Genomic DNA, 24,905 nt, shown 5'->3' on the forward strand with positions numbered 1-24,905 from the left:
CTTGGTTGGATTTTGTTACAGACATATCGGGTGGTTGTAAACAGGAGATTGTATTTATGTAATTTTTATATCAATGTGTTAAAGGAGAAAAATATGTTTATATAAAAGAGTCTGGAAAGAAATAATGATTATTTCATAATGGAAAAAAAGCAATGTCACTGACACTATGATCATTCAACATTTTTTTAAAATAAATTAATTTTTTTTAGTTTTAGGGATTAGGCCTCACTCTCTTGCCCAGGCTGGAGTGAAGTGGCGCAGTGGCACAGTCATAGCTCACTCTAACCTTGAACTAACTCCTCAACTCAAATGATCCTCCTGCCTCAGCCTCCCAAGCAGCTGGGATTATAGACATGAGCCACCTTGCCCAGCTCAGTATCATTTTTCACATTCAAGCTAATGAAATAATTCAATAGAATTAAACAAATGCTTTTCAAAAATGAAGTTGGAACAATTAGTCATCCATAGACACAAAACAAAATAAACCAGCAGACAAACAAAACTTCATATTAAGCCTCATGCCATGTGTGAAGATATACAAAAAGTAACTCAAAATAGAGCAGGGAGGAATATGTGAAATAAAACTATAACATTTTTTAGGAAAAAGCCATAGGAGAAAGTTTCAAGACCAAGAAATAGGTGAAACATTGTTAGACTTGACAGCAAAAGCACGATTCATAAAAGGAAAAATTGATTACCTGGATCTCATAAATATTGATACCTTTTTCTCCACAAAACATTTTCTAAAGAGGGTGAAAAGACAACTTACAGACTGGAGGGAAATATTTGAAATTCACGTATCTGACAAAGCATTTGTATTTAGAATAGACGAAGAACTCATCAAATGCAGCATTAAACAAACACACCAACGAAATAATTCAGTTAGAAAGTGGGCGAATGACATGAACAGATATTTCACTGAAGACTATATGGGAATCATAAATAAGCACATTAAATGATGTTCAACCTCATTAGCTACTAGAGAAATGCAAATTAAACCACAAGGGGATATCACTACACGTATATAAGAATAGCCATTTTTTTTTAATGACATCAAATGCTGCCGAAGATGCAGAGAAACTGGATCATTTATACATTGCTGGTGAGAATGTAAAATGGTAAAACTACTGTAAAAAAGCATATGGAATTTTTAAATAAAACTGTAATGTGTTTACATTTGACCCAGCAACTGCATATTTGGGCATTTATCTTGGAGAAAAGAAAATGTATGTTTGTACAAAAATCTATAAAAAAATGTTTATAGTAACTTTATTTTTAATATCCCCAAACCAGAAATAACAATAACTCAAATGTTCTTCAATGAGTGAAGAGTTAAAGAATGGTCTCTCAATACCCTGGAATATTACTCAGCCATCAAAAGTGATAGATTATTTATACATTCAACAACTTGAATGGATCTCAAGGGAATTATTCTGAGTGATAAAAGCCAGTCCAAAAGCTTAGGTATGGTATGATTGTGATTATATAGCATTCTTAAAATTACAAAATTTTAAAAATGGAGAACAGAGTAGTGGTTGGTTGCCAAGGGATTGGGTGGGGGACTGTTAATGAAAGAGTGGCAGAAGAGATCCTAGTGATGGAACTGTTCTTGACTGTGGTGCTGGTCACCTGTGATGCAGTTGCGTAGAACTAAACACGCAAGAATGCACGTGAATAAATGAATACATGTAAAACTGCAGAAATCTGAGTAAGGTTGATGGAGTATATCAATGTCAGTTTCTTTTCGTGATATTATTATGCAGGATGTTACTTGTCATTGAGAGAAACTGAATGAAGAGTACACAGACTTTCTCTGTAATATTTCTTGCAACTTCATATGAATCTTCAATTACCTGGGAAGCAAATGCATACATAGTATAATTAGTTGCTTAAAATTTGGAAAAGAAAGAAAAAAGTAATATGTTTACAGATGCTATAATTTAATATGTAGAAAATAAAAACTCATAATTGAAATGTTTAAGAAAATGTGATATGGTGTAATCATTAATCTTATAGGTATAAAAATAATTTAGAATGGGAATGGGAAATATTCTGTTCACAATACCAAACTATATATACTTTGCACTAAATTCAATTGGAAGGGCAAAGGACTTATATAAAAAATCAAAGATAAAATAGTATTAATGTACATAAAATGAGGATGGAATATTTCTGAATGAAAAGCCTTAATATTGTGAAATGTTTAAAATTTTCCAGTTTTCACTGTTGTGTGTATGTATATTATATATAGTGTTATTTTAATAAAATTTCTATTTGAGTTGTAATATGATTTTAAAGCTCACATGAAAGATACCATGTTTGAAAATTACCAAATTATTATTTTAAAATTTATTTGAAAATAAGATTATTTGGTGTGGTGGACTTACAGCCTTTTTTTTAAGTTAACATCTTCCTAAAAAATGTAAATGAAATATGTGGAACTCATTAGGAACAAACTAAATGTTTTTGGAAGACAAACAGATGCATGCATATAAAAGAAATTTATATATATAATACAGTTAATTTTTTAAATTTAATAGATAAGGATCATTTAAGTTTGTTAGCATAATTTCTCTCACTGAAATAAGTACATGCCTACCTCCCACCTTTACCTATGTAAATTTATTGTATCAAATAAGTCAATGTTTATCAAATATAGATGATAAAATATAATTCTCTAAAAATTGAAGGGATCTGATTAGACAAAATAATGGTAAATTTACGTGATAGGGAAATTTAAAAATTTTGAAACTTATCTATATCAAACTTTTGTTTTATTGAGATACCTCATAGAATAAATATATTTCTGAAACCCTAATAAAATTAGCTCATCTGATTAAAATCCCATACTTTTATGATGGAAGCTGAATTCTGGAATTAAGATATTTTTTCGCTTGTGAAACAAAAAGCACTTATCCTTTTATCGCAAATGTTCTTCCTCCTTCTCCTGCCCCTAGTATTCCCTTCCTCTGCCTTTTGAAACATGTAATACCCAGGGTTTTTTTAATAGTTTTTTTTTATAATAGATTATTTTTCAGAGAAATTTTATATTCACAGCAAAATTGAGTGAAAGGTACAGGAATTTCCCATATTCTCTTCCCCCTGACCCCCCTGTGCCTGATACAGACCATGCATAGCTTCCCCAATTATCAACATCCCGCACCAGAGTGGCACAATTGCTATCACTCATGAACCTATATTGACACATCATTGTCACCCAAGGTCTGTTTGGATTCACTTTCCAGTGGATTGTGTTGTATGGGTTTGGACAAGTAAATAAAGACATGTATCCACCATTGTAGAATCATATGGAATAACTTCACCACCCTACAAATTCTCTATGTTCACCTGCTCATTCCTTCCCTCGCAATTCCTAGCAACCACTGCTATTTTTACTGTCTCTATAGTTTTGCTTTTTCAAAATGTCATGTAGTTGAGATTATATACTATGTAGCCTTTTCTTACTGGCTTCTTTCACTTCATAATATGCATTTAAGTTTCCTCCATATCTTTTCATGGCTTGATAGCTCATTTTTTTTAGCACAGAATAATAACTCATTAAAAAAATGTATCTATTTAGCCATTCACCTATTGAAGGACATCTTGGTTGCTTCCAAATTTTGGCAATTATTAATAAAGCTGCTATAAATGTTTGTGTGTAGGTTTTTCTGTGTTAATATGTTTTCACCTCCTTTTGGGTAAATACAAAGGAGCCTGATTACTGGATTGTATGATAATAATTTGTTTAGTTTTATAAGAAAATGCCAGATTATTTTCCAAAGTGACTGTACCATTTTGCATTCTTACCCAGGAATTAGTGAGAGTTGGTCATTTTATGTTTAAGTGAGGCCTTCTCTGATTTTTTCTGTGAGACATTTCCTTTCTTCAAACTCATTAAGCACTCTCTATCCTTATACTGACATCTATTATGTATGTATGTGTGTGTGTGTGTAATTTGTTTTTTGAGACAAGGTCTCACCCTGTCACCCAGGCTGGAGTATAGTGGTGCAGTGGTGCGATCTCAGCTCACTGCAGCCTCCGCCTCCTGTGTTCAAGCAGTTCTCCCACCTCAGCCTCGCAAGTAGCTGGGACCTCAGACATGCACCACCACTCTAGGCTCATTTTTTGTTTTATATATTTTGGTTGACACGGAGTTTCACCATGTTGGCTAGGCTGGCCTGGAGCTCCTGTCCTCAAGTGATCCACCCGCCTTGGCCTCGCAAAGTGCTGGGATTACAGGCATGCCCCACTGCGCCTGGCCTGACATCTATTATATGTTTTGTTAAGCATGTGCAAACCCCTCAGGGCAGGACAGAGATATGTCTCCTATCCTTTACAGTACTGCACTTGTTGCCTTGAAATTTTTTAATGAAACTAGAAAATTTGTGAATGAATTAAGAAATTCTGGTGTGTCAGACTGCCAGGCAAATGATCAAATATATATCATCACCTAACAGCATTTCGTTTTGCAAAGCTCTATACAATTACAATGTCTTATGCTAAAATTATAATCAAACAATACTCACTATTTTTACTATAATTTTTTTTCCATTTTTTCTTGGCAGTTATTTTATGGGTTAAATGCATGATTGATTTATGTGAAAGGGAATTGCATTTGACGTTATTGACTCTTTGCCCCAGCCTTTTCAGCTAGAAAAAAGCAAAGCTCTTGCTGTAACAAGTGCTGAACCTTTTCAGAATAAAATCTAATGAGGTTAGTATATATCCTTGACATTTTATTTTCAACCGAAGTGAAGGTCATAGCTGAAAGGTCACAAAGATGAATTTATACAGCAAATAAACAATGTTATTATTTTGCAAAGAAAATGCAATATTCCTGTCTTTAGCCTCTTGCATGTAAAAGGGTGTTTGTAATGCTGATTTTAGTATTCAAGTCCTGTTATCTTTTCATTTCTTATATTTTGGAATGTAGAAAGAGGAATACACCTAGCTTATCTATAAAAGACTAGTATGAAATGTGTGTATTATCATTAATATTCTAGTATTTTATTATTTGAACTTTACATTTAAGTCAAATCTACTTTGTATTTGTTGGGTACTAATTTTTTTGGTGGAAGTAGGTAATTACTCTATTTCCTTGGTAAACTTCTTTCTGACTTGAGAGTTTAGTCATACATAAGTCCCTCAAGTCTACCATCTTTGGTTTTTAACAACAAAACTGTACATTTCCAATGAAAGAATATATCAACATAAGTTTGGAAAATAAGGGGCTGAATTATAGTTAAATGGTAGAAAATCTGCCTTTTTGGGCACAATGTACAACAGGAATTCTTAACTGCTTTCATATTATATTACTAATACGTAACATGGGATTGCTCTATTAAATTTGTACCAGATCAAGACAATTTTAATAGTAAAAATAGTTTCATTTATTTAAAAAGTCATTAAACAAAGTTCAAATGCCAAAAACCATGTCAAAATGGTCACTTTATATTGTTATGTAGTTAATATATTTTAGAGCAAATATTCCAAATTTTGTAATTTGCTCCTTTTAAAAAACAAGCATAAGATAGGCATCTAACCTAGAATTTCCTTTATTTTAGATGAACTCACAAATTCGTCAGAAACCAGATTGTCTTTGGAAGACCTCTTTAGGAAAGACTTTGTGCTTCACGATCCAGAGGCTCGGTGGATCAATGGTAAGTGTATACCTTTTTAAACATTGTATTCATTTTGAGTTCTGTATAATTAAAATTTTAAAAAATGAGATGTGTAAGCTGGGCGCAATGGCTTATGCCTGTCATCCCAGCACCTTGGGAGGCCAAGGCAGGAGAATCGCTTGAACCTGGGAGGCGGACGTCGCAGTGAGCCGAGATCGCACCACTGCACTCCAACCTGGGTGACAGAGCGAGACTCCATCTCAAAAAAAAAAAAAAAAAAAAAAGATATGTGTAGTTAATATTTAATTGAAAGTGTACTTCAAAGATTACATGGGTATTATTTAAATTAAAACCTTGGTTCTTGTGAGAGAAAATCAATTCCTAAGATAGGGCGTCAATAAATTATTTGGCAAACATTGGGTTGACAGTTTTGTATCTGCTGCTCTCTCATGATCATTAGTTACATGACTTTAAGGATGTATTACATCTCTAGCACATCACTAGATAATTTTTCTTAGTTTGGCAGTGTACATTTTGGGAGCTAGTACGTAGAAATGTTAAGTGCTTCAGATTTGACAATATGATTGGTTTTTGTTATTCTCTGTGGCTTTTCTTTTTAAGCTTAAGTGTTACAAGCTAGTGAGACTCTATGCAAAATTGAAATGACTTGGAAATATATGGCACTTTGTTGTTTTTTTTTCTGGCCTGGCAAATAGGACTCCTTAGGTTCTCTTAAGTCAATCTCTGACATAAAAATAAGAAAATAAAACCACTGAGTGGCTTCATAGGTTTTGCTTTGTCTTTATGGAAGATCATAAGGGCATAATGTGTTGGTGAAAAGGAAATCAGTTTTTTAATCCTTTGAATGTTCTAATTTGACCAACCATACGAATCATTATGGTTGGATAGCTGTTAATCTTTACCCTTCACTTTATTTGGGCATAATATCTTTGCTAATTTTCAAGGCATAGAGTGTATTATTTGTATAATAGATGAAAGGAGCTTTGCCTTTTCATATAATAAAGATCATCATACTTACAGTCCATTCCTTCCTCTCTCTTACTCTACTTAAGTGTATTTATGCTGGTGAATTAAACTTTAATTTATGGAAGCTATATAAAGAGAATGTAATTTAACCCATGAGGGCAAAGGCCAAATCACGTGTGTTTACTTGACACTGATATGTCTCCTGGAGATCTGCAGGCACTCGAGATTGGTTTTTTGAATAAATGAATGAATGATTTTAATTGATGTGCAGTCTCATTTTCACATAAACTTAAATTTTAATTGAAATCAATTGGAAGATAAGTGTGTATTGTGATGATATTACGGATAAAGAACACAAGGTAGCGTTTTTCTTAATGAATCTGTATATTTTTATTTTGAATTGTTTATAAATTTGAGGCTAGTCATATTTTTGCCTTTGTACTGTGATTATTTCACATATACACTATAATGAGTGCTATGACTAAAGAAGGCTAATAAAAAAGATATATTATCACAAAAAATTGTCCAAATACACAAATCTCTCATAAATAATTCTTCTAATGTGTGATTATAATTATGACAATCACCTGTTTACTCTTTAGCAAATATTTTCTATTGAGAGAAATGACAAAATGAAAGTTGCTAGGTTTTTTTAAACAGTAGTATTATGAGTTGTTAGATTTGAAATGCTGAATAATCTTGTTTTATTCACCATGTTTTTGGACAAATTATAGACATTTTGTAGTCTTTGACTTTGGAAAACATGAAAAATTATGGGTCTCATCTCCCTTCTCAGGTTAGCTTGGACTATTTAGAGGCATTTACTCCTGTGTATAACTGACTCTGTGATATTGAAGCTCCGAAGGACAGGACAGATATTTAAGTAGTGAACTGCATGCTAAATTAAAACATATTTCAATATGTAGGACACAGATTCTACTCTTATACTTCATAGGTTACCAAAATAATATATTTGGAGTTTATCATTTTTCAAGTAATTTCTTTATTAATCATTGGTTAAATTTGATCCTAAGAAGGCATCTGGGACAAAGCTGCAGTGTTATTATAATGTTCTAAGTAATACCTAAATATATAATTTTTATAAAGAATTTGACATAAAGACAACTCTTTAAATTGGAATAAACAGAACCTAAGCTCTGAAAGAATGCAGTCTTTATAAATACCATTGAAGGAACTGTCTCAATGCCTGTAAATTGTGTGCACTGAGTTACTTTTTAAGTATAGAAATGGATTTGTGCTTTTATCCAACCCAGATCTTTCTGGCAAGTGCTAGATACTTGGCCTATTTACGTATTCCTCACATAGCCTGGAAATTCAATGGGAAATATATGAGTAGGATGTGTAACCTTGGCCTCATTATCAACAGTTATATCTAAATGTAACCTGTGAGCTTTTTCTTTATTCTCAAGTGATATCTCAACAGGTTTTCTTTGTACATAAGTCACTTGAAGGAGTTCGAGCTCAGCTTATTTGGAAGCATCATTTAATTCTTGGAGGTCATCATAGAAGTGCTTAATGCATTATTGGTCAAGGGGAAGGAGGGAGTCTAGACGGCCCTGACATGTGTAGGTTATAGTGAGGCGATGCCATTCATTATGCTTGGTCTCAAAAAATATGTCTGAGAATATCATTGCAGTCTTGGATGGGTGCCCCTGTTCATGGTTAGCTTAACAACGGCCTTACCCCAAGTCTGCTCATATCTTTGAAATCTACATTTTTATAGCATCTTCATTCTAGCAATGTCACCTTGAAATTTGAAAACCCATCTTATTTAAAATTATTCATTCTATCCACACACATTTGATAATCAATTAATCACCAAAGAAAGATCTAACATTGAGTGCCTTCTATTGAGACTCTGTGATCGATGCTTTATGTACATATTTCACAGGACTGCATATGACATTAAAGTTAACCCCAGAAAACTGAGGCTTAACTCAGAAACTTATCCGAACACACACCTAATAAAAGGCAGAGGCTGCTTTACTCATTATGCTTAAGTATAAAACTTGACCTCTTTCATTGTTTGACTCTGATGTGTCATCCTCATATCTAACATATTTATCAAGCACCTCACTGACAATCTCATTTTAACAGACCTCATTGCTGTCGTAGGGTGGAAAGGTATGAAAGCCTTCCTCACCCATCATAAAGGTCACAGCCAACACTGCTGTAACAAAAGACCAGTTAAAAAGAGAAAAGCATAACAAATTTATTTAATGAAAGTTTTATGTCACTTGGAAGACTTTAGAAATGAAGAATCAAAGGCCTAGGGAAAACTGTCCATTTGTATGCTTAGGTTAAATAAAGTACGGACAGTGTATTGAAGTGTGACTGGACAAAAAGGGTATACTCTAATGATAATAAAATGAGGGAGAAACCCAGCAAAGCTTACCTGTTCAGATCCTTCTTGGCCTCCCTGTGTAGCATTTCATCCTGCCAGATATAAGGCAGAACTCCCCCGGAAATAGGGTCTTATGATCTATTATCTGAAAGGTAGGTCAGTGCATTTCCTTGTGACAGCTCCTACACAGAAAAGCAGAGGAAGGTTAAAATATTTTTAAATCTTATGGTTTGCTTGGAAAGAGGGATGCTAGTTTCTTTTATTATTGTTATTATACTTTAAGTTCTAGGGTACAAGTGCAGAACATGCAGGTTTGTTACATAGGTATACATGTGCCATGGTGGTTTGCTGCACCCATCGTCCCATCATCTACATTAGGCATTTCCCCTAATGCTATCCCTCCCCTAGTCCCCTACCCCCTGACAGGCCCTGGTGTGTGATATTCCCCTCCCTGTGTCTATGTGTTCTCATTGTGCAACTCCCACTTATGAGTGAGAACGTGCTTTGTTTGTTTTTCTGTCCTTGCGATAGTTTGCTGAGAATGATGGTTTCCAGCATCATCCATGTCCCTGCAAAGGACATGAACTCATCCTTTTTTGTGGCTGCATAGTATTCCATGGTATATATGTGCCACATTTTCTTTATCCAGTCTACTATTGATGGGCATTTGGGTTGGTTCCAAGTCTTTGCTATTGTGAGTAGTGCTGCAATAAATATACATATGCATGTGTCTTTATAGTAAAATGATTTGGGAGTAATGGGATTTCAAGTTTTTGTAACCTTTCCTGGGGTAGAGGAATCTGGTTTCTATTACTTGCTTCAGGGATGGCAGAGAGGTAGGAGACAGGAAGGCAGAAGGAGGTCAGATACAGACTTTGCTTCTGAGACTGCTCAGAGGCCTTCCAATATCTTAGTCAGTTCAACGTACTCAGCATGCCACCATGCCATACTTGGAGGTATCATTTTCTGAGTCCCAACACTATTAATTTTTTCATGTTGAATACTACAATAATATGTTTATTTCCCCAGGTACATTCATGTAGTGGTAACTTATACAGTCACTAAAACTAGAGTTTATACACATGTTTATTGACTTGATCATGATCTAGAAAAGTGAACAAAGTAACTTCAAAACAGCATTGATAGTATGTGATATCACATTGTCTATTGTGTAACAGTGATTGTCTCCAGATTATCCCTTTCTTTTTACTTATTTTGTTTTTTCTCGATTTTTTTCAATAAATGCATGTGTTTACATAGTTTTTTTTTATAATTTTAACTTTTTATTTTAGATTTAGGGAGTGCATGTGCAGGTTTGTTACATGGGTATCCTGCAACGTTAGCACTCTCAGGATATTCATTTTGAGCTATTAGATAAAATCAATCAAGTGCTATTTTATTTTTAAACTTTGTTTTCCACTGTGTCAGAAGACAATTCCAAAATTTATCTGATGGAGTATAAACAATTAAAATTATCATTTGATAAAAAAAAGTTGTAAATTTTAAATACATTTGGGTTCCAGTGGACAAACATACCATCATGTAATGAGATTTTACCGTGCAGCTAGTGTGTCCTTTACTCACCCCATGAGTTTGACAACACCTGCTCAGTGATATTGGTCCACTTACCATTTGTTATGAACCTGCAGCAATATCAAATTGCTATGAAAATTTTTAAATGTGTACCCACAATTAAACCTACCTGCTCTGGACCAGTGGTCAACCCTTCACCAACTGGCTGTAGTAAGATAACAACACTCTTAGCACAGCCCTTTCCTAGGAGACTATAAACGATGAGGAATAACTGTCAGTATTCAATGAGTGCTCCATAAATAGTTTCATTATAATGAGAACAGTGTATATGTAATGGGATAGAAGTTGTTTCACATTTCTTTTGCAAAATGGCATGCTGGGATAAATGATAATATGTGAGGCTTTGGGTTTTATTTTGATCTTATTGGACTCATGTTGGAAAAAAATAAACTCACTTGTTACATGAGATTCCAACACAGATATTTTAACCTGCTGTCTTTGTAACGTGTGACAGTATAATATGTGGAAATGGGAGACTCATTAAATCAAGGTAAGCCATGGCCTTTCAGCAAGTTATCTAAGCCTCTTAAGGCTTGGTTTCTTCATTCAGAGTGAGGACATTAGTGCCATAGCTAGAAGCATAATACAAAGTAAGTGAGCAAAAATATGTAAAAAGTGAAGATAAAAGGTAAAAGTTAAAAAAAGAAAAGAAAAAAACTATAAATGAAAAGTCAAGGTCTGTAGCCTTGTGGATCTTCAAATGGTAGCGATTCATAGAACTGATGTTAGAGATGCTCTGAACACCTGACATTTGTTAATAAATGCGCTGGGAGGTCTCATTCTCATAATATATGCAGGATATTGAAGAGGCAGTGAAAAGTCACTATTGTAGCCTGTATGAAAAACAAGAAACATTATTGTAATATATCAATAATATTTACAGTAATTAGGGGAACTGTAAATAGGAAAACTAAACAAATACATCTTTGTTGTTTCTTGCTTGTTTGTTTGACACTAATTTGTCATACTAGAATTATTGTCCATCAACTTCACTTGGTAGAGCTGCAGAAGTTGTTGTGTTTCTCAGTGCACAGGGAGCTACTTCTAACTCCAAAGACATCATTACCCTCCCTTTAGCCTATATTCAGCCCCCAGTCAAAATTATCTTATGTTTATCTTATTTTGTATCTTCGTGACCAAAGTGTTATTTTTTATAATCATCAACCAAACTGATAGTTAAATAAAATAGAGTTGAATTTATATTCATGAGGCTCTTGAAGATAACACGTATTTTTCTTGCAACATAATTTATAAAGATAAAACCTTGCATAGATTCTAGATGCACACAATTAGGTATATGGTCAAATAAATCAATTTGCATCTTTTTAATGGAAAACTAAACAGCTGTAAAAATTAATATTTAAAATATTAGTGACATTGAAATATGTGCAGATAATATATTAATTGAAAATAGCACAATATGGAATTATATATATAGTGTATTCACAATTGCATTACTTGCATATACACACAAGTATATGCAAAGAAAATAATACCTGAATTCAATATGCCAAAATATTAAATAATTTTCTGTTAGAGTGATTGAGTTGTTTTTATTTTTTCCCTTTCTGTCTATATTTTCCAAATTTTCAACAGGCATTCTGCTGTTTCCTACTATGGCAATTTTATGTACTAACTACGGATATTCAAACTTTTGTTTGAAATTCAAACCTAACAAGTAAATGGTTACTAAAATTCTCATTATGGTAGATGCATTCAGCTAGACAAATATTAATTTTGTTATTCTGCCTGTGCCTTTTTTCTCAGAGATCTGTATGAAAAGGAGGTACAGAGAGGAGCGTGAGGTTACTGAACCTGGGAGAATGAGAATGTTCTTAGCACAGCAATGACTATTAGACTTAAGAGGCATGGATTCTTATAACAGCAGTTTCACTTCCTTCTTTCCCAATAGATTGAGACATAATATTTCCTGTAGTTTATTATGTTCTTTTTTCTTCCACTAATCCAAACCTCTGCAACATGCAATTTATCTATATTACAAACCTAAATAGTACCCTAGCCCCCAAAGGGTTTTTTTAAAAAGTCAAAAATAACAAATGTTGATGAGGCTGTGGAGAAAAGAGAATGCCTATATGGTGTTGCTGGAAATGTAAATTAGTTCAGCCACTATGGAAGGCAGTTTGAAGATTTCTCAAAGAACTTACAGCAGAACTAGCATTGGACTAGCAATCTTATTAATGGGTATATACCCAAAGGAAAATAAACTTTCTACCAAAAAGACCCATACATTTGCATGTTCTTTGCAGCACTATTCATAATAGCAAAGACCTGAAATCAACCTAGGTGCCCCAAAATGTAGGAGCGGATAAAGAAAATGTGGTACATATACACCATGGAATACTGTGCAGCCATAAAAATGAACAAAAGCATGTATTTTGCAGCAACATGGATGCAGCAGGAAGCCATTATCCTGAGTGAATTAATGCAGAAACAGAAAGCTAAATATCACACATTCTCACTTATAAGTGGGAGCTAAATCTTGAGGATGGGCAGACGTAACGATAGGAACAACAGGCATTAGTGACTCCAAAGGTGGGGAGCGGAGGAGGGGAACAAAGCCTGAAAAACTTCCTTTTGGGTACTACGTTCACTATCTGGGTAACTGGGATCAATGAAGTCCAAATCTCAGTATCATACACTATACCTTGTAACAAATCCACACATATACCCCCAAATCTAAAATAAAGATTAAAATTTTAAAAATCAAATAAAAAGTAAAAACACATAGGAGGCTATTGAAATAATGACATACCTAGTTCCTGATTCACAGACCAGAGACTTGTAAATGAAATTTGGAATGTAAATCATGGTTATCAAGGCTGACTTTTCTTTTCAGAGTTATATATGACAAAGTATCTTCCTATCAAGAGTAGATAATTTCCTACTAAAACTAAACAAATGCTTAAAAAGCATACCATGAAGCATATTTACTTCTCTCCAAATGACCAAAAATGTTTTATTTATTGCTATGTTGTTTGTAAAATTGTGCTTTTACCAAAGTTTAGATTAAATTTCATCTGTATTAAAACTGTTTGAAATCAATAAAATGGAAATATCTACTATAAAAAATCATACTGTGGCAATCTTACATACTAACTACGATATTCAAACTTTTGTTTGGAATTTAAATCTAAATAGTTTTCTTCAAGAAAATATTTTTAAGATTTCAGTTTGTCTAAAAATGACAATACTTAAACTAAACACCAAGAGAGAGAAAAGGGATTTACTGATAAAATTCAGTGTTAACATTTAGGAACAAAAAAGTATGTAAGAAAAAAATATATTTCTATCACCTAGGTATGCAATGATCAAAGTATTTAAAGAGAATTTGAAACACAAACTAAACTTTAGAATAAAGAAGCTAAATATTTATGTTACCACTTATTTCTTGAAATATAAAACTATATTTTGATTTTTAAAATAAGAAAAAAAAGCTTGGGGAAATGGGATGAAAGTTATGTTCAGAGTTCATCAACAAGCATTTATTGAGCTTCATATATGTGCTCTGCACAGAGCTTCATATATTCCAGATGGAATCTGTTTACATTTGAAAAGTTTGTAGTAAAATATCTGGTGTCCTCATAGTCCTTTGATATTCTATACAATTGTTGGTCTTGGCCTTGATGGCCCAGGAAATCTGTTTGTCAATACAAATATAGAATAATAGATACATTGACATTGACATCTATCTTTCCATCTATATATCCATCTATCCTTTTATCTATCCAACATGTATTGAAAAGATTGAAGCACAGCCAAACATTTTTCTAGATACAAAGATATAAAGGTGAATAAACACAGTCCCTTTGATCAACGACATTATGAATATAAAGGGTTTTTTTCCTCATTGAGCACAAATCTTTCCAGTTGTCTCAGGCTTAAAAGTAAAATTGTAATCAAAAGGCTGTGAATGGGACAGAAAGTAGACATAACTGAAGAGTTGCAAGAAATACTCAGTCCAATTACGATGAAGTTTTATTAACCTTCTCCAAAATCAAAAACACATCTTCACATCCTACATCTCTCTCTTTACTATGATGCAGGGTACACATGGCACATTTTATTTTTTTGAGCTGCTGTGTACGCCCTGCCTCTCTTTTTATTTGATACAGTCTTCACTTACATATGGTAATGATCATGACTAATATATACATGTACCACTGACATGTTCAAAAAAAAAATATAATTATGGTACCCAGAGACTATAGAAACTAGATCAAAATAATAGGCCTAAAACAATTAGGTGAACAATAATTAGGTGATCCATTTCTGGGTAATTATTTTTTAAAAACAGATGTTGCAACTAGGAGAAATCGGTTTGAGTTAAGAACGGTTGGAGTCGTCTTTATGGAAAAGATAAAATTCAGTCGCAGTCTAGAGGGCAGATGAGCCCAGGGGATGAATGAAGATATTGTTGGGAGAACAAGGATGTGTTATGACAAAATCACAGAAATTAGCATGGTGTGTAAGTTTAACGGTAAGGAAAATGCTGTGTATGTGTGTTCGGGGCCTCTCTATGTATAAAAGTAATGGAAAATAAAGTTGAGTAACTCAGTATTGGCATATGATTAGAATATGTATATTTGATCATTTTACTGTAATTGTTATACTTTGATCTCCTTTAGCAGATTAACCCTTTATTAGCTCTTAATTTGAAACAGAAGAATTTAAAATTGCTCTGATAAATGTCAGCTATTTTGTGGGAATGGGAGTTGTTAGTAGTAGGAATTGAAGTGGGAGATATTAGTAATAGGAATTTACCTAATACGTGTTCAGTAAGTCAAAATTTGCATGTATGTTTCTACTTTTCTAGGACACTTCTACATATGCTATTTATTTGCATTTTTTTGAAAACCCTTCTTAGGGAGGCAGGATGGGCATTATTTTTGTTTTATACATGAGTAACTTGAGAAGCAGGTTTTTTCCACTTCTCTCAGATTCACTCAGTAATAAGTTCTGGCTAGAAGCCACATCTTTCATGTTTAATGTTTGGTGGAAACTAGAGTAGAGAAAACGTTTCAAGTGAATTTTTTTTATTATCATGAAACTAACATTTGACAGTGTTTATAAATTAATTTTTAAAACACATAGATTTAAGGAAAACAATATTAAAGGAAAAGTAGATAAGAATAAGGAAAGATTTTCTTTGTAATTGTATATGAATGTTTCCATTTTATTGGAATGTTTAGATATTTTTAGAAAATGTAATTGTTCTTATATGATTGATTTTACATGTAAAAAAAGAAGTCATTGCAGATAATCATAATAAGAAACTGAAACTTAGGACATATTTTCATTTTTTAAAAAAATGTATTCTTTCTTGTCAACTTTTATTTTAGATTCAGGGGTACATGTTGTTACCTGGGTATACCAGGTTGTTACCTGGGTGTGTTGTATGATGCTGAATTTTGCTGTATGATTGAATATGTCACCCAGGTAATGAGCATAGTACCCAACAGATAGTTTTTCAAAGTTTGTCTCCCACATTCCCTCCCTACCCCCTCTTATTTTCACCAGTGTCTAACATTCCCATCTTTATGTCTATGGGTACCCAATGTTTAGTTCCCACTTTGCTTGTGGTATTTGGTTTTTTGTTTTGGTTTTTAGTTTTAGTTTTTTTGTTTCTGCATTAATTAGCATAGGATAATGTCTCAAAATGCATCTATGTTGTTGTAAAATGACATAATTTGGCCTTTTTATGGCTGCATAGTATTCCATGGTATGTATGTACCACATTTTCTTTATTTCTTTTTTTTTTCCTTTAAGTTCATGTGCAGAACGTGCAGGTTTGTTACATAGGTATACATGTGCCATGGTGGTTTACCGCACCTACTGATTTGTCCTCTAAGTTCCCTCCCCTCGCCCCCCACCCAACAATAGGCCCTGGTGTGTGTTGTTCCCCTCCCTGTGTCCATATGTTCTCATTGTTCAACTCCCACTTATGAGTGAGAACATGTGGTGTTTGGTTTTCTGTTCCTGTGTTAGTTTGCTGAGGATGATGGCTTCCAGCTTCATCCATGTCCCTGCAAAGCACATAATCTCATTCCTTTTTATGGTTGCGTAGCATTCCGTGGTATATATGTACCACATTTTCTTCATCCAGTCTATCACTGTTGGGCATTGAGGTTGGTTCCATGACTTTGCTGTTGTAAATAGTGCTGCAATAAACATACGCTTGCATGTGTCTTTATAGTAGAATGATTTATAATCTTTTGGGTATATATCCAGTAATGGGATTGCTGGGTCAAAGGTTATTTCTGGTTCTAGATCCTTGAGGAATTGCCATACTGTCTTCCACAATGGTGGAACTAATTTACATTCCCACCAACAGTGTAAGTAATTGTAAAAGTGTTCCTATTTCTCCACAGCCTCAGCAGCATCTATTGTTTCTTAACTTTTTAATAATTGCCATTCTGACTGGCATGGGATGGTATATCATTGTGGTTTTGATTTGCATTTCTCTAATGATCAGTAATGTTGACCTTTTTTTCATATGTTTGTTGGCCGTGTACATGTCTTCTTTCGAGAAGTGTCTGTTCTTAGCCTTTGCCCATTTTTGATGGGGTTGTTTTTTTCTTGTAAAGTTGTTTAAGTTCCTTGTAGATTCTGGATATTAGACCTTTGTCAGATGGGTATATTGCAAAAATTGTCTCCCATTTTGAAGGTTGCCTGTTCACTCTGATGATGGTTTCTTTTGCTGTGCAGATTCTCTTTAGTTCAATTAGATCCCATTTGTCAATTTTCCTTTTGTTGCAATTGCTTTTGGCATTTTTGGTATGAAGTCTTTGCCCATGCCTATGTCCTGAATGATACTGCCTAGGTTTTCGTCTAGGGTTTTTAGTATGTTGGGTTTTATATTTAAGTCTTAAATCCATCTTGAGTTAATTTTTGTTTAAGGTGTGAGGAAGGTGCCCAGTTTCAGCTTTCTGCATATGGCTAGTCAGTTTTCACAGCAACATTTATTGAATAGGAGATCCTTTCCCCATTGCTTATTTTTGTCAGGTTTGTAAAAGATCAGATGGCTGTAGATGTGTGGTGTTATTTCTGAAGTTTCTGTTCTGTTCCATTGGTCTATATGTCTGTTTTTGTAGCAGTACCATGCTGTTTTGGTGACTGTAGCCATGTAGTGTAGTTTGAAGTCAGGTAGTGTGATGCCTCCAGCTTTGTTCTTTTTGTTTAGGATTGTCTTGGCTATACAGGGTCTTCTTTGATTCCATATGAAATTTAAAGTCGTTTTTTCTTCTTCTGTGAAGAAAGTCAATGGTAGTTTGATGGGAATAGCATTGAATCTATAAATTACTTTGGGCAATATGGCCATTTTCACAATGTTGGTTCTTCCTGTCCATGAGCATGGAATGTTTTCCATTTGTTTGTGTCCTCTCTTATTTCCTTGAGCAGTGGTTTGTACTTCCCCTTGAGGAGCAACTTCACATCCCTAGTTAGCTATATTCCTAGGTATTTTATTCTCTATATAGAAGTTGTGAATGGGAGTTTATTCATGATTTTGCCCTCTGCTTGTCTATTGTTGGTGTAAAGGAATGCTTGTGGTTTTTGCACATTGATTTTGCATCCTCAGACTTTGCTGAAGTTGCTTATCAGCTTAAGGAGTTTTGGGCTGAGATGATGGAGTTTTCTAAATGTAGATTCATGTTGTCTGCAAACAGACACAATTTGACTTCCTCTCTTCCTATTTGAATACCCTTACTTCTTTCTCTTGCCTGATTGCCCTGGCCAGTACTTCCAATACTATCTTGAATAGGGGTAGTGAGAGAGGGCATCCTTGTTTTTAACCAGTTTTCAAAGGGAATGCTTCCAGATTTTGCCCATTCAATATGATATTGGCTAGGGGTTTGTCATAAATAGCTCTTATTATTTTGAGATATGTTGCATCAATAGCTGTTTTATTGAGAGTTTTTCTTTATCCAGTCCACTGTTGGTAGGATCCTTGGTTGATTCCATGTCTTTGCTATTGTAAAGGGTGCTACAATGAACATATGGGTGTCTTCTTGGTAGAATGATTTATTTTCCTTTGGGTATATACCAAGTAATGGGATTGCTGGATTAAATGGTAGTTCTATTTTTAGTTATTTGAGAACTCTCCTAACTGCTTTCTATAGTGGCTGAACTAATTTACATTATCACCAACAATGTTTAAGTGTTTTTGAACCATTGCCCCTTTCCTCTCTCCCATCTTTTGTATTATCCAGCATCTATTGTTCCCATCTTTATGTTCATGTGTACTCAATATATATTTCCCACTATAAGTGTGAAAATGCAGTATTTGATTTGTTCTTTCTTTATTAATTCTCTTAGGATTATGTCCTAATGGATAATGGATAGTGACCTAATAGCCTAATGGATAATGGTCCAAGTTCAGAGTCTCATCTGAGACAAGGGAAATCCCTTCCACCTAGTGCCTGTAAAACCAGAACAAGTTAGTTACTTCCAAGATACAATGGAGGTACAGGCATTGGTTAAATATACCCATTCCAAATGAGAGAAATTGGTCAAGGGCCTACAGGCCCCATACAAGTCCGAAATTCAATAAGGCAGTCATAAACCTTAAAGTTCCAAAATGATCTCCTTTGAACCCATGTCTCACATCCAGGTAACACTGATGCAAGAGGTGGGCTTCCACAGACTTGGGCAGCGCCACTCCTGTGGCTTTGCAGGCTACAACCTCCCTCCTGGATGCTTTCATGGGCTGGTGTTGTGTGTGCAGCTTTTCCAGGTGCACAGTACAAGCCGTCAGTGGATCTAACATTCTAAGGTCTGGAGGATGGTGGGCCCCTTCTCACAACTCCACTAGGCAGTGCCCCAGTGGGGCCACTATGTGGGGGCTCCTACTCCACATTTTCCTTCTGCTCTATCCTAGCAGAGGTTCTCTATGAGGACTCCACCCCTGCAGCAAACTTCTGCCCGGACATCTAGGCATTTCCATACATCCTCTGAAATCTAGGCAAAGTTTCCAAAACTCAATTTTTGTTTTCTGTGCACCCATAGGACCAACACCATGTGGAAGCTTCCAAGGCTAGGGATTTGTATCCTCTGAAGCAACATCTTGAGCTGTACCTTGGCCCCTTTTAGCTAGGTTTGAAGAGGCTGGGACACAGTACCGAGGCTATACACAGCAGGGGGGCCTTGGACCCGACCCAGGAAACCATTTTTTTCTCCTAGCCCTCTGTGCCTGCGATGGGAGGGGCTGCTGTGAAGGTCTCTGACATGCCCTGGAGACATTTTTTCCATTGTCTTGGTGATTAACATTGGGCCCCCTGTTGCTTATTCAAATTTCTGCAGCCTGCTTGAATTTCTCCCCAGAAAATGGGTTTTTCTTTTCTATCATATCATCAGGCTACAAATTCCCAGGCTTTTTTGTTTGCCTCCTCTTGAGCACTTTGTCACTTAGAAATTTCTGCTGCCAGATATGCTAAATTGTCTCACTCAGATTCAAAGTTTCACATGTCTCTAGGGCAGGGGCAAAATGCTGCCAGTCTCTTTGCTAAAGCAAGAGTGACCTTTACTCCAGTTCCCAACAAGTTTCTTGTCTCCATCTGAAACCACCTCAGCCTGGACTTCATTTTTTACATCACTATCAGCATTTTGGTCAAAGCCATTCAACAAATCTTTAGGGAGTTCCAAACTTTCTCACATCTGTCTGTCTTCTGAGCCCTCCAAGTCTCTGGGAAGTTCCAAACTTTCCCACATTTTCCTATCTTCTTCTGAGCCCTCCAGACTGTTTTAACCTGTGCCTGTTACCCAGTTTCAAAGTTGCTTCCACATTTTGGGTATCCTTATAGCAGCACCCCACTCTACCAGTACAAATTTACTGTATAAGTCTGTTCTCACGCTGCTATGAAGAGATACCTGAGACTGAGTAATTTATAAAGAAAAGAGGTTTAATTGCCTCCTCACAGTTCAGCATGCCTGGGAAGGCCTCAGGCAACTTACAATTATGGTAGAAGGGGAAGCAAACATATCCTTCACATGGCAGTACCACGGAGAAGTGCTAAGCAAAAGAAGAAAAGCCCCTTATAGAACCTTCAAATCTCATGAGAACTCACTCACTATCACAAGAATAGCATGGATGTAACCACCCCCATGATTCAATTACCTCCCACCGGATCCCTCCCGTGGCACATGGAGATTATGGAAACTACAATTCAAGATGAGATTTCACTGGGGATGTTGTTGCATATGAGATGGGTTTCTTGAAGATAGCAGATGGTTGGGTCTAGCATTTCATCCAACTTGCCACACTGTAGCTTTCAAGTAGGGTGTTTAGATCATTTGCATTCATCGTTAATAGTGATATGTGAGAATTTGACCCTGTGATCATGTTATTACCTGGTTGTTTTGTGGACTCGATTGTGTAGTTGCTTTATAGAGTCTGTGAACTATGCATGTGTGTATGTTTTTGTGGAGGCAGGTATTGTTCATTTGCAGGTTTAGAACTCCCTTAAAGACCTCTTGTAAGACTGTTTTGGTGATAATAAATTCCCTTAGTGTTTACTTCTCTGGAAAGGATTTTATTTCTCCTTTGCTTATGAAGCTTAGTTTGACAGAAGATGAAATTATCTGAAATTTTTTTAATGATATGAAAATAGACCTACAATCTCTTTTTGTTTGTAAGGCTTCTGATGACAATCCTGCTGTTATTTTGATGGGGTTCTTTTTGTAATAGACCTCACCCTTTTCTTTAGCTGCCTTTAAGATTTTTTCTTTCACACTGACTTTGGAAAATCTATTGAATATGTGCCTTAGAGATGGTCTTCTTATATCTCATAGGGGCTCAACAAATTTCTTGAATTTGTGAGTTGACCTCTTTCATGAGATTGGGTAAATTTTTATGAAATGTATTCTCAAATTTGTTTTCCAAGTTGCTTACTCTCTTTCTCTCACAGGAATGCTATTGCATAATAGGCTTGGTTTATTTACATAACCCTGTATTTCTTGGAGGTTTTCTTTCTTTAAAATTTTTTTTAATTTATATTTGTCTTACTGAATTGGTTAAAAGGACCAGTATTTTCATTCTGAGATTATTTCCTCAGCATTGTCTATTCTATTTTTAATGCTTCTAATTATATTTTTTAATTTCTCTAGTAAGTTTCTCAATTCCAGAAGTTCAGTTTTGTTTTTTCTTAAAATGCTTGTGTTGTCTTTCTACTCTTGGATTATTTTACTGCTGTCTCGGATTGGGTTTCAGCTTTCTCTTGAATCGCATTGAGCTTCCTTGTTACCAAGATTCTGAATTCTATGTCTGTCATTTCAGCCATTTCAATTTGGTAAGGATCCATTGCTGGAGTGCTAGTGTGATTGTTTTGAGGTGAGGAGATACTCTGACTTTTTGAATTGCCAAAGTCCTTGCACTGATTCCTTCTTATCTGAGACGGTTAGTGTTATTTTATCTTTCAGAAGTTGCTGTCATTTGGATGAGGCATTTTGTTTTTATATTCTTTTTCTCTCTGGAGGGTGTGACTGTAGTGAATGTTTTGTATTGTTAATTGGCTTTGTTTCTGGGTGCTTTCAGAGGGTTAAGCCTCTGTACAGGTTATTTAATTATAGCTAGATCTCTACATTGTATTTCACAGGCAGTGTGTGGAAGGCATTTTTGTTTGGTGGTGTAATTCAGACTGCGTTCCATTAGATGGCATTTAAGAATAAGAGTCAGCAGGTATGTTCTTATTCAACTGTGTGCCTTTTTTGTATTTCAGTGCATTTGTGTAGTGTTCCAGGTTGGAGGAGTTGGGGGGAATCAGGGGATGACTCTCTCACCAAGTTTTCATTCCTGGGACTTGGGGGAGCTCCCTGTAGTCTCTGGTGCTGTGCCCACATTTCTTTAGCTCCAAGGGAGGCCTAGGCTGGCAGTGCTGTTTCCTCCCATGGAGTGGCCTGAGCCAAAGGTTAGGTTGGCAGGAGACCCGTAGTCCCCTAGGGGCCTGCTATACCTCTGTACTTGACAGAGTCAGAGAGGGTTGTGGGGTATGTCTGCTGGTGGTCTGTTGATTCAGTCGGTCAGAGGTGGAGGATCCCAGGAAGGGCAGTGTTGCTGTGGGTGTGCAGCTGGTGTGGTACCCAGGGCCTAGAGTTTTTTGCCCAGAGATTGCTGTCTGGACTTCCCAGCTTGTGCTTGACTGATCAGGTCTCCTTCCAGTGTCTGTCCCAGTACTGAGCTTGCCCAGCTAGTTTTGTCCCAAGCCTTTTGTTCTCCGATTGCTTGTCTGTTAGGTGCTGCAGGGCATGGAGCTCCCTCAGGCAGAGGCTGAGGATGGCAGATAGGCCACACCCTTCCTAGATTGGTCTTCCAGAGCATGGTATACCCAGCTGCTGTGCCATCCCATGATCCCACACCTCAGTCTTCTCTGTGGTCTGAGAGTGAGGGCTCCTCTCCTGCTTGAGCTCAAGATCTCAGCTCAATACCCCTGAGCCGTGTGTTCAAATTCTAGGGAGTTGAGACCAGGCATGCAGCTTTGTCCTTCTGCCCATCTGGGTCAGATACTACCTGTTCTGCGGGAGGGCAAAGCAATTCCAGACTAATGGCGAGACACTCAGGTGGGGCAGTAGAGGTTGCATTGTCGGCATGCTCTTGATGGAGTGGTCAGGCAGGGGCTTTGAGGGTGGTCAATGGACAAGGGGATGTGCAGACCAGACATGCCCCTTTCCCATGGGAAAAACAGCCCTGTTTCCTGCACCCCCTCATGCAAAATCTTCTGAGTTCTTCTCAGATTTGAGCTCTGCCTCTGCTTACTCTCCAAGCAGTTCCCCTGCCGATTCAAATGTTTTTTGGGGTCACAGGATCTCTCATAGCTAGGATCTCAGAGGTCTGTGGCAGGAGTGTGGTGTCCCGCAGTTCCTTTATTCACTTCTTCCTTAGGACCTGTTAAGGGCTGAGAGCCAGTTCTGGTGCTCAGCAACTTTGTGCAGCTTCCTCCCTCTTCATCCTCAGTGTTTGTGTTGCCTCTCTGTGGACTTTCAGTTTTCTCCCAGAGGATCTGCTTGAGGTGTGATGGTTCACTGGATATTTTGGTTTCTCTTGGTTGGAGAGTTGCTTCTTGGCTGCATCTAGTCAGCTATGTTGGCCCCCCAACTCCAAATTTTCATATTAACCTTTTAATTCAACTTGCTTTGTTTTTGCATGTATGTTTGTGTGTGTATGTTTGTGTGTGTATGTTTTGTGTGTATGTTTTTGTGTGTATGTTTTGTGTGTATATTTGTGTGTTTGTGCATTTCTTTATGAATGGCTAAATTTACTTAATCAGCTTGGTTATACAGTCAATTCGAATGAGCCATTGAGAACTTTGGATAACTATCACTGGTTTCTATTGAATAAACAAGTATTAAACATGTAGGTGCATTCCAAAATGTCTTTAGCAAGGAAATTTCTAGAGATAACATTCCTTATCATTAAATGGCTAAGATTCTATATGGTAAGTTATGTTTTGTAAGTGGGGCAACTAAGGCCAGATACCATGCTCTGCATTTTTAGTTTATTATATCTAATGTTTATAGTTTTCTAACTTAGGTAGATATATGCTTATTTTATAAATGAAGAGCTTGAGTTTAAAGCAAATAGGTGACTTGTTCAAGAACACAGAGATAAATTGAATCTATACTTTTTTTTAACTTATATGTATAATAGAAAAAATCCATAACAAAAAGCTTTATATAACTGGCAGGTGACGTTTTCCAACTTTTGGTTAAGCTGAGTAACAAACAGTGAGTTCCCCATTTCTGCTAATGTTTTAGAGAGGTTGGGTGATCATGTGATAAAGATATATTAGTGAGATTCATATAGTGGATACGAAATTATTAAAAAATAACCTCTAAGTTCAACTTCAATTCTAATATTTTATCAGTTTATCGCCATGTCAACATAAAGGTACAGTTGAAGCTACTGTTTTAATTTTTCCTTGTTTTAGGAAACCAGTTGATACATTGTTCTAGACCTTTCCTAGGGAATGGTGTCAGCTTTCACAGAAAGTTGTCTGCTTTTCATTTCCAGTCAAGAAAACTCTAGTGTTTGACACATAGCTCTTTGCTCTTTGATTTGATTGGCCATATGGAGTTGTTAAAACATTTAAAAGCTGATCTCAATTGGACTTTCAGTTGATAACACCTTGGTATCCTCTTTTGTGCAGTCATAACCCATGCCAGTTTTCATGAGCTTGAACATTCATTACTGGGTTCATGACCCAAGCCATTAGCCCATCACTGCCATGCACTTGTCAACAGCATCTGAAAGCATGAAGCTTAAACCTATCTGGTCTCTGGTGTTATTCAATTTGTGAGTGAAAAAATCACACACTACCTAGTTAATGTGT

General features: G+C 35.8%; 1 protein-coding gene across 24 annotated transcripts in view; it reads left to right on the forward strand.

Annotated features, from left to right (window-relative positions):
* Positions 1–24,905, forward strand: part of DPP10 (dipeptidyl peptidase like 10) — a 1,403,140-nt gene that overhangs the window by 895,612 nt on the left and 482,623 nt on the right. For 21 of the 24 annotated variants that reach the window (NM_001321910.3, NM_001399849.1, NM_020868.6 and 18 more), the window contains 1 exon segment: positions 5,565–5,660. The exons of 1 other annotated variant lie outside the window; for it this stretch is intronic. In NM_001321910.3, the coding sequence (NP_001308839.2) occupies positions 5,565–5,660 (96 nt within the window). 24 annotated transcript variants of the gene reach the window in all.

The sequence above is a fragment of the Homo sapiens genome, chromosome 2 (assembly GCF_000001405.40).
Source record: "Homo sapiens chromosome 2, GRCh38.p14 Primary Assembly".
NCBI lineage: Eukaryota > Metazoa > Chordata > Mammalia > Primates > Hominidae > Homo > Homo sapiens.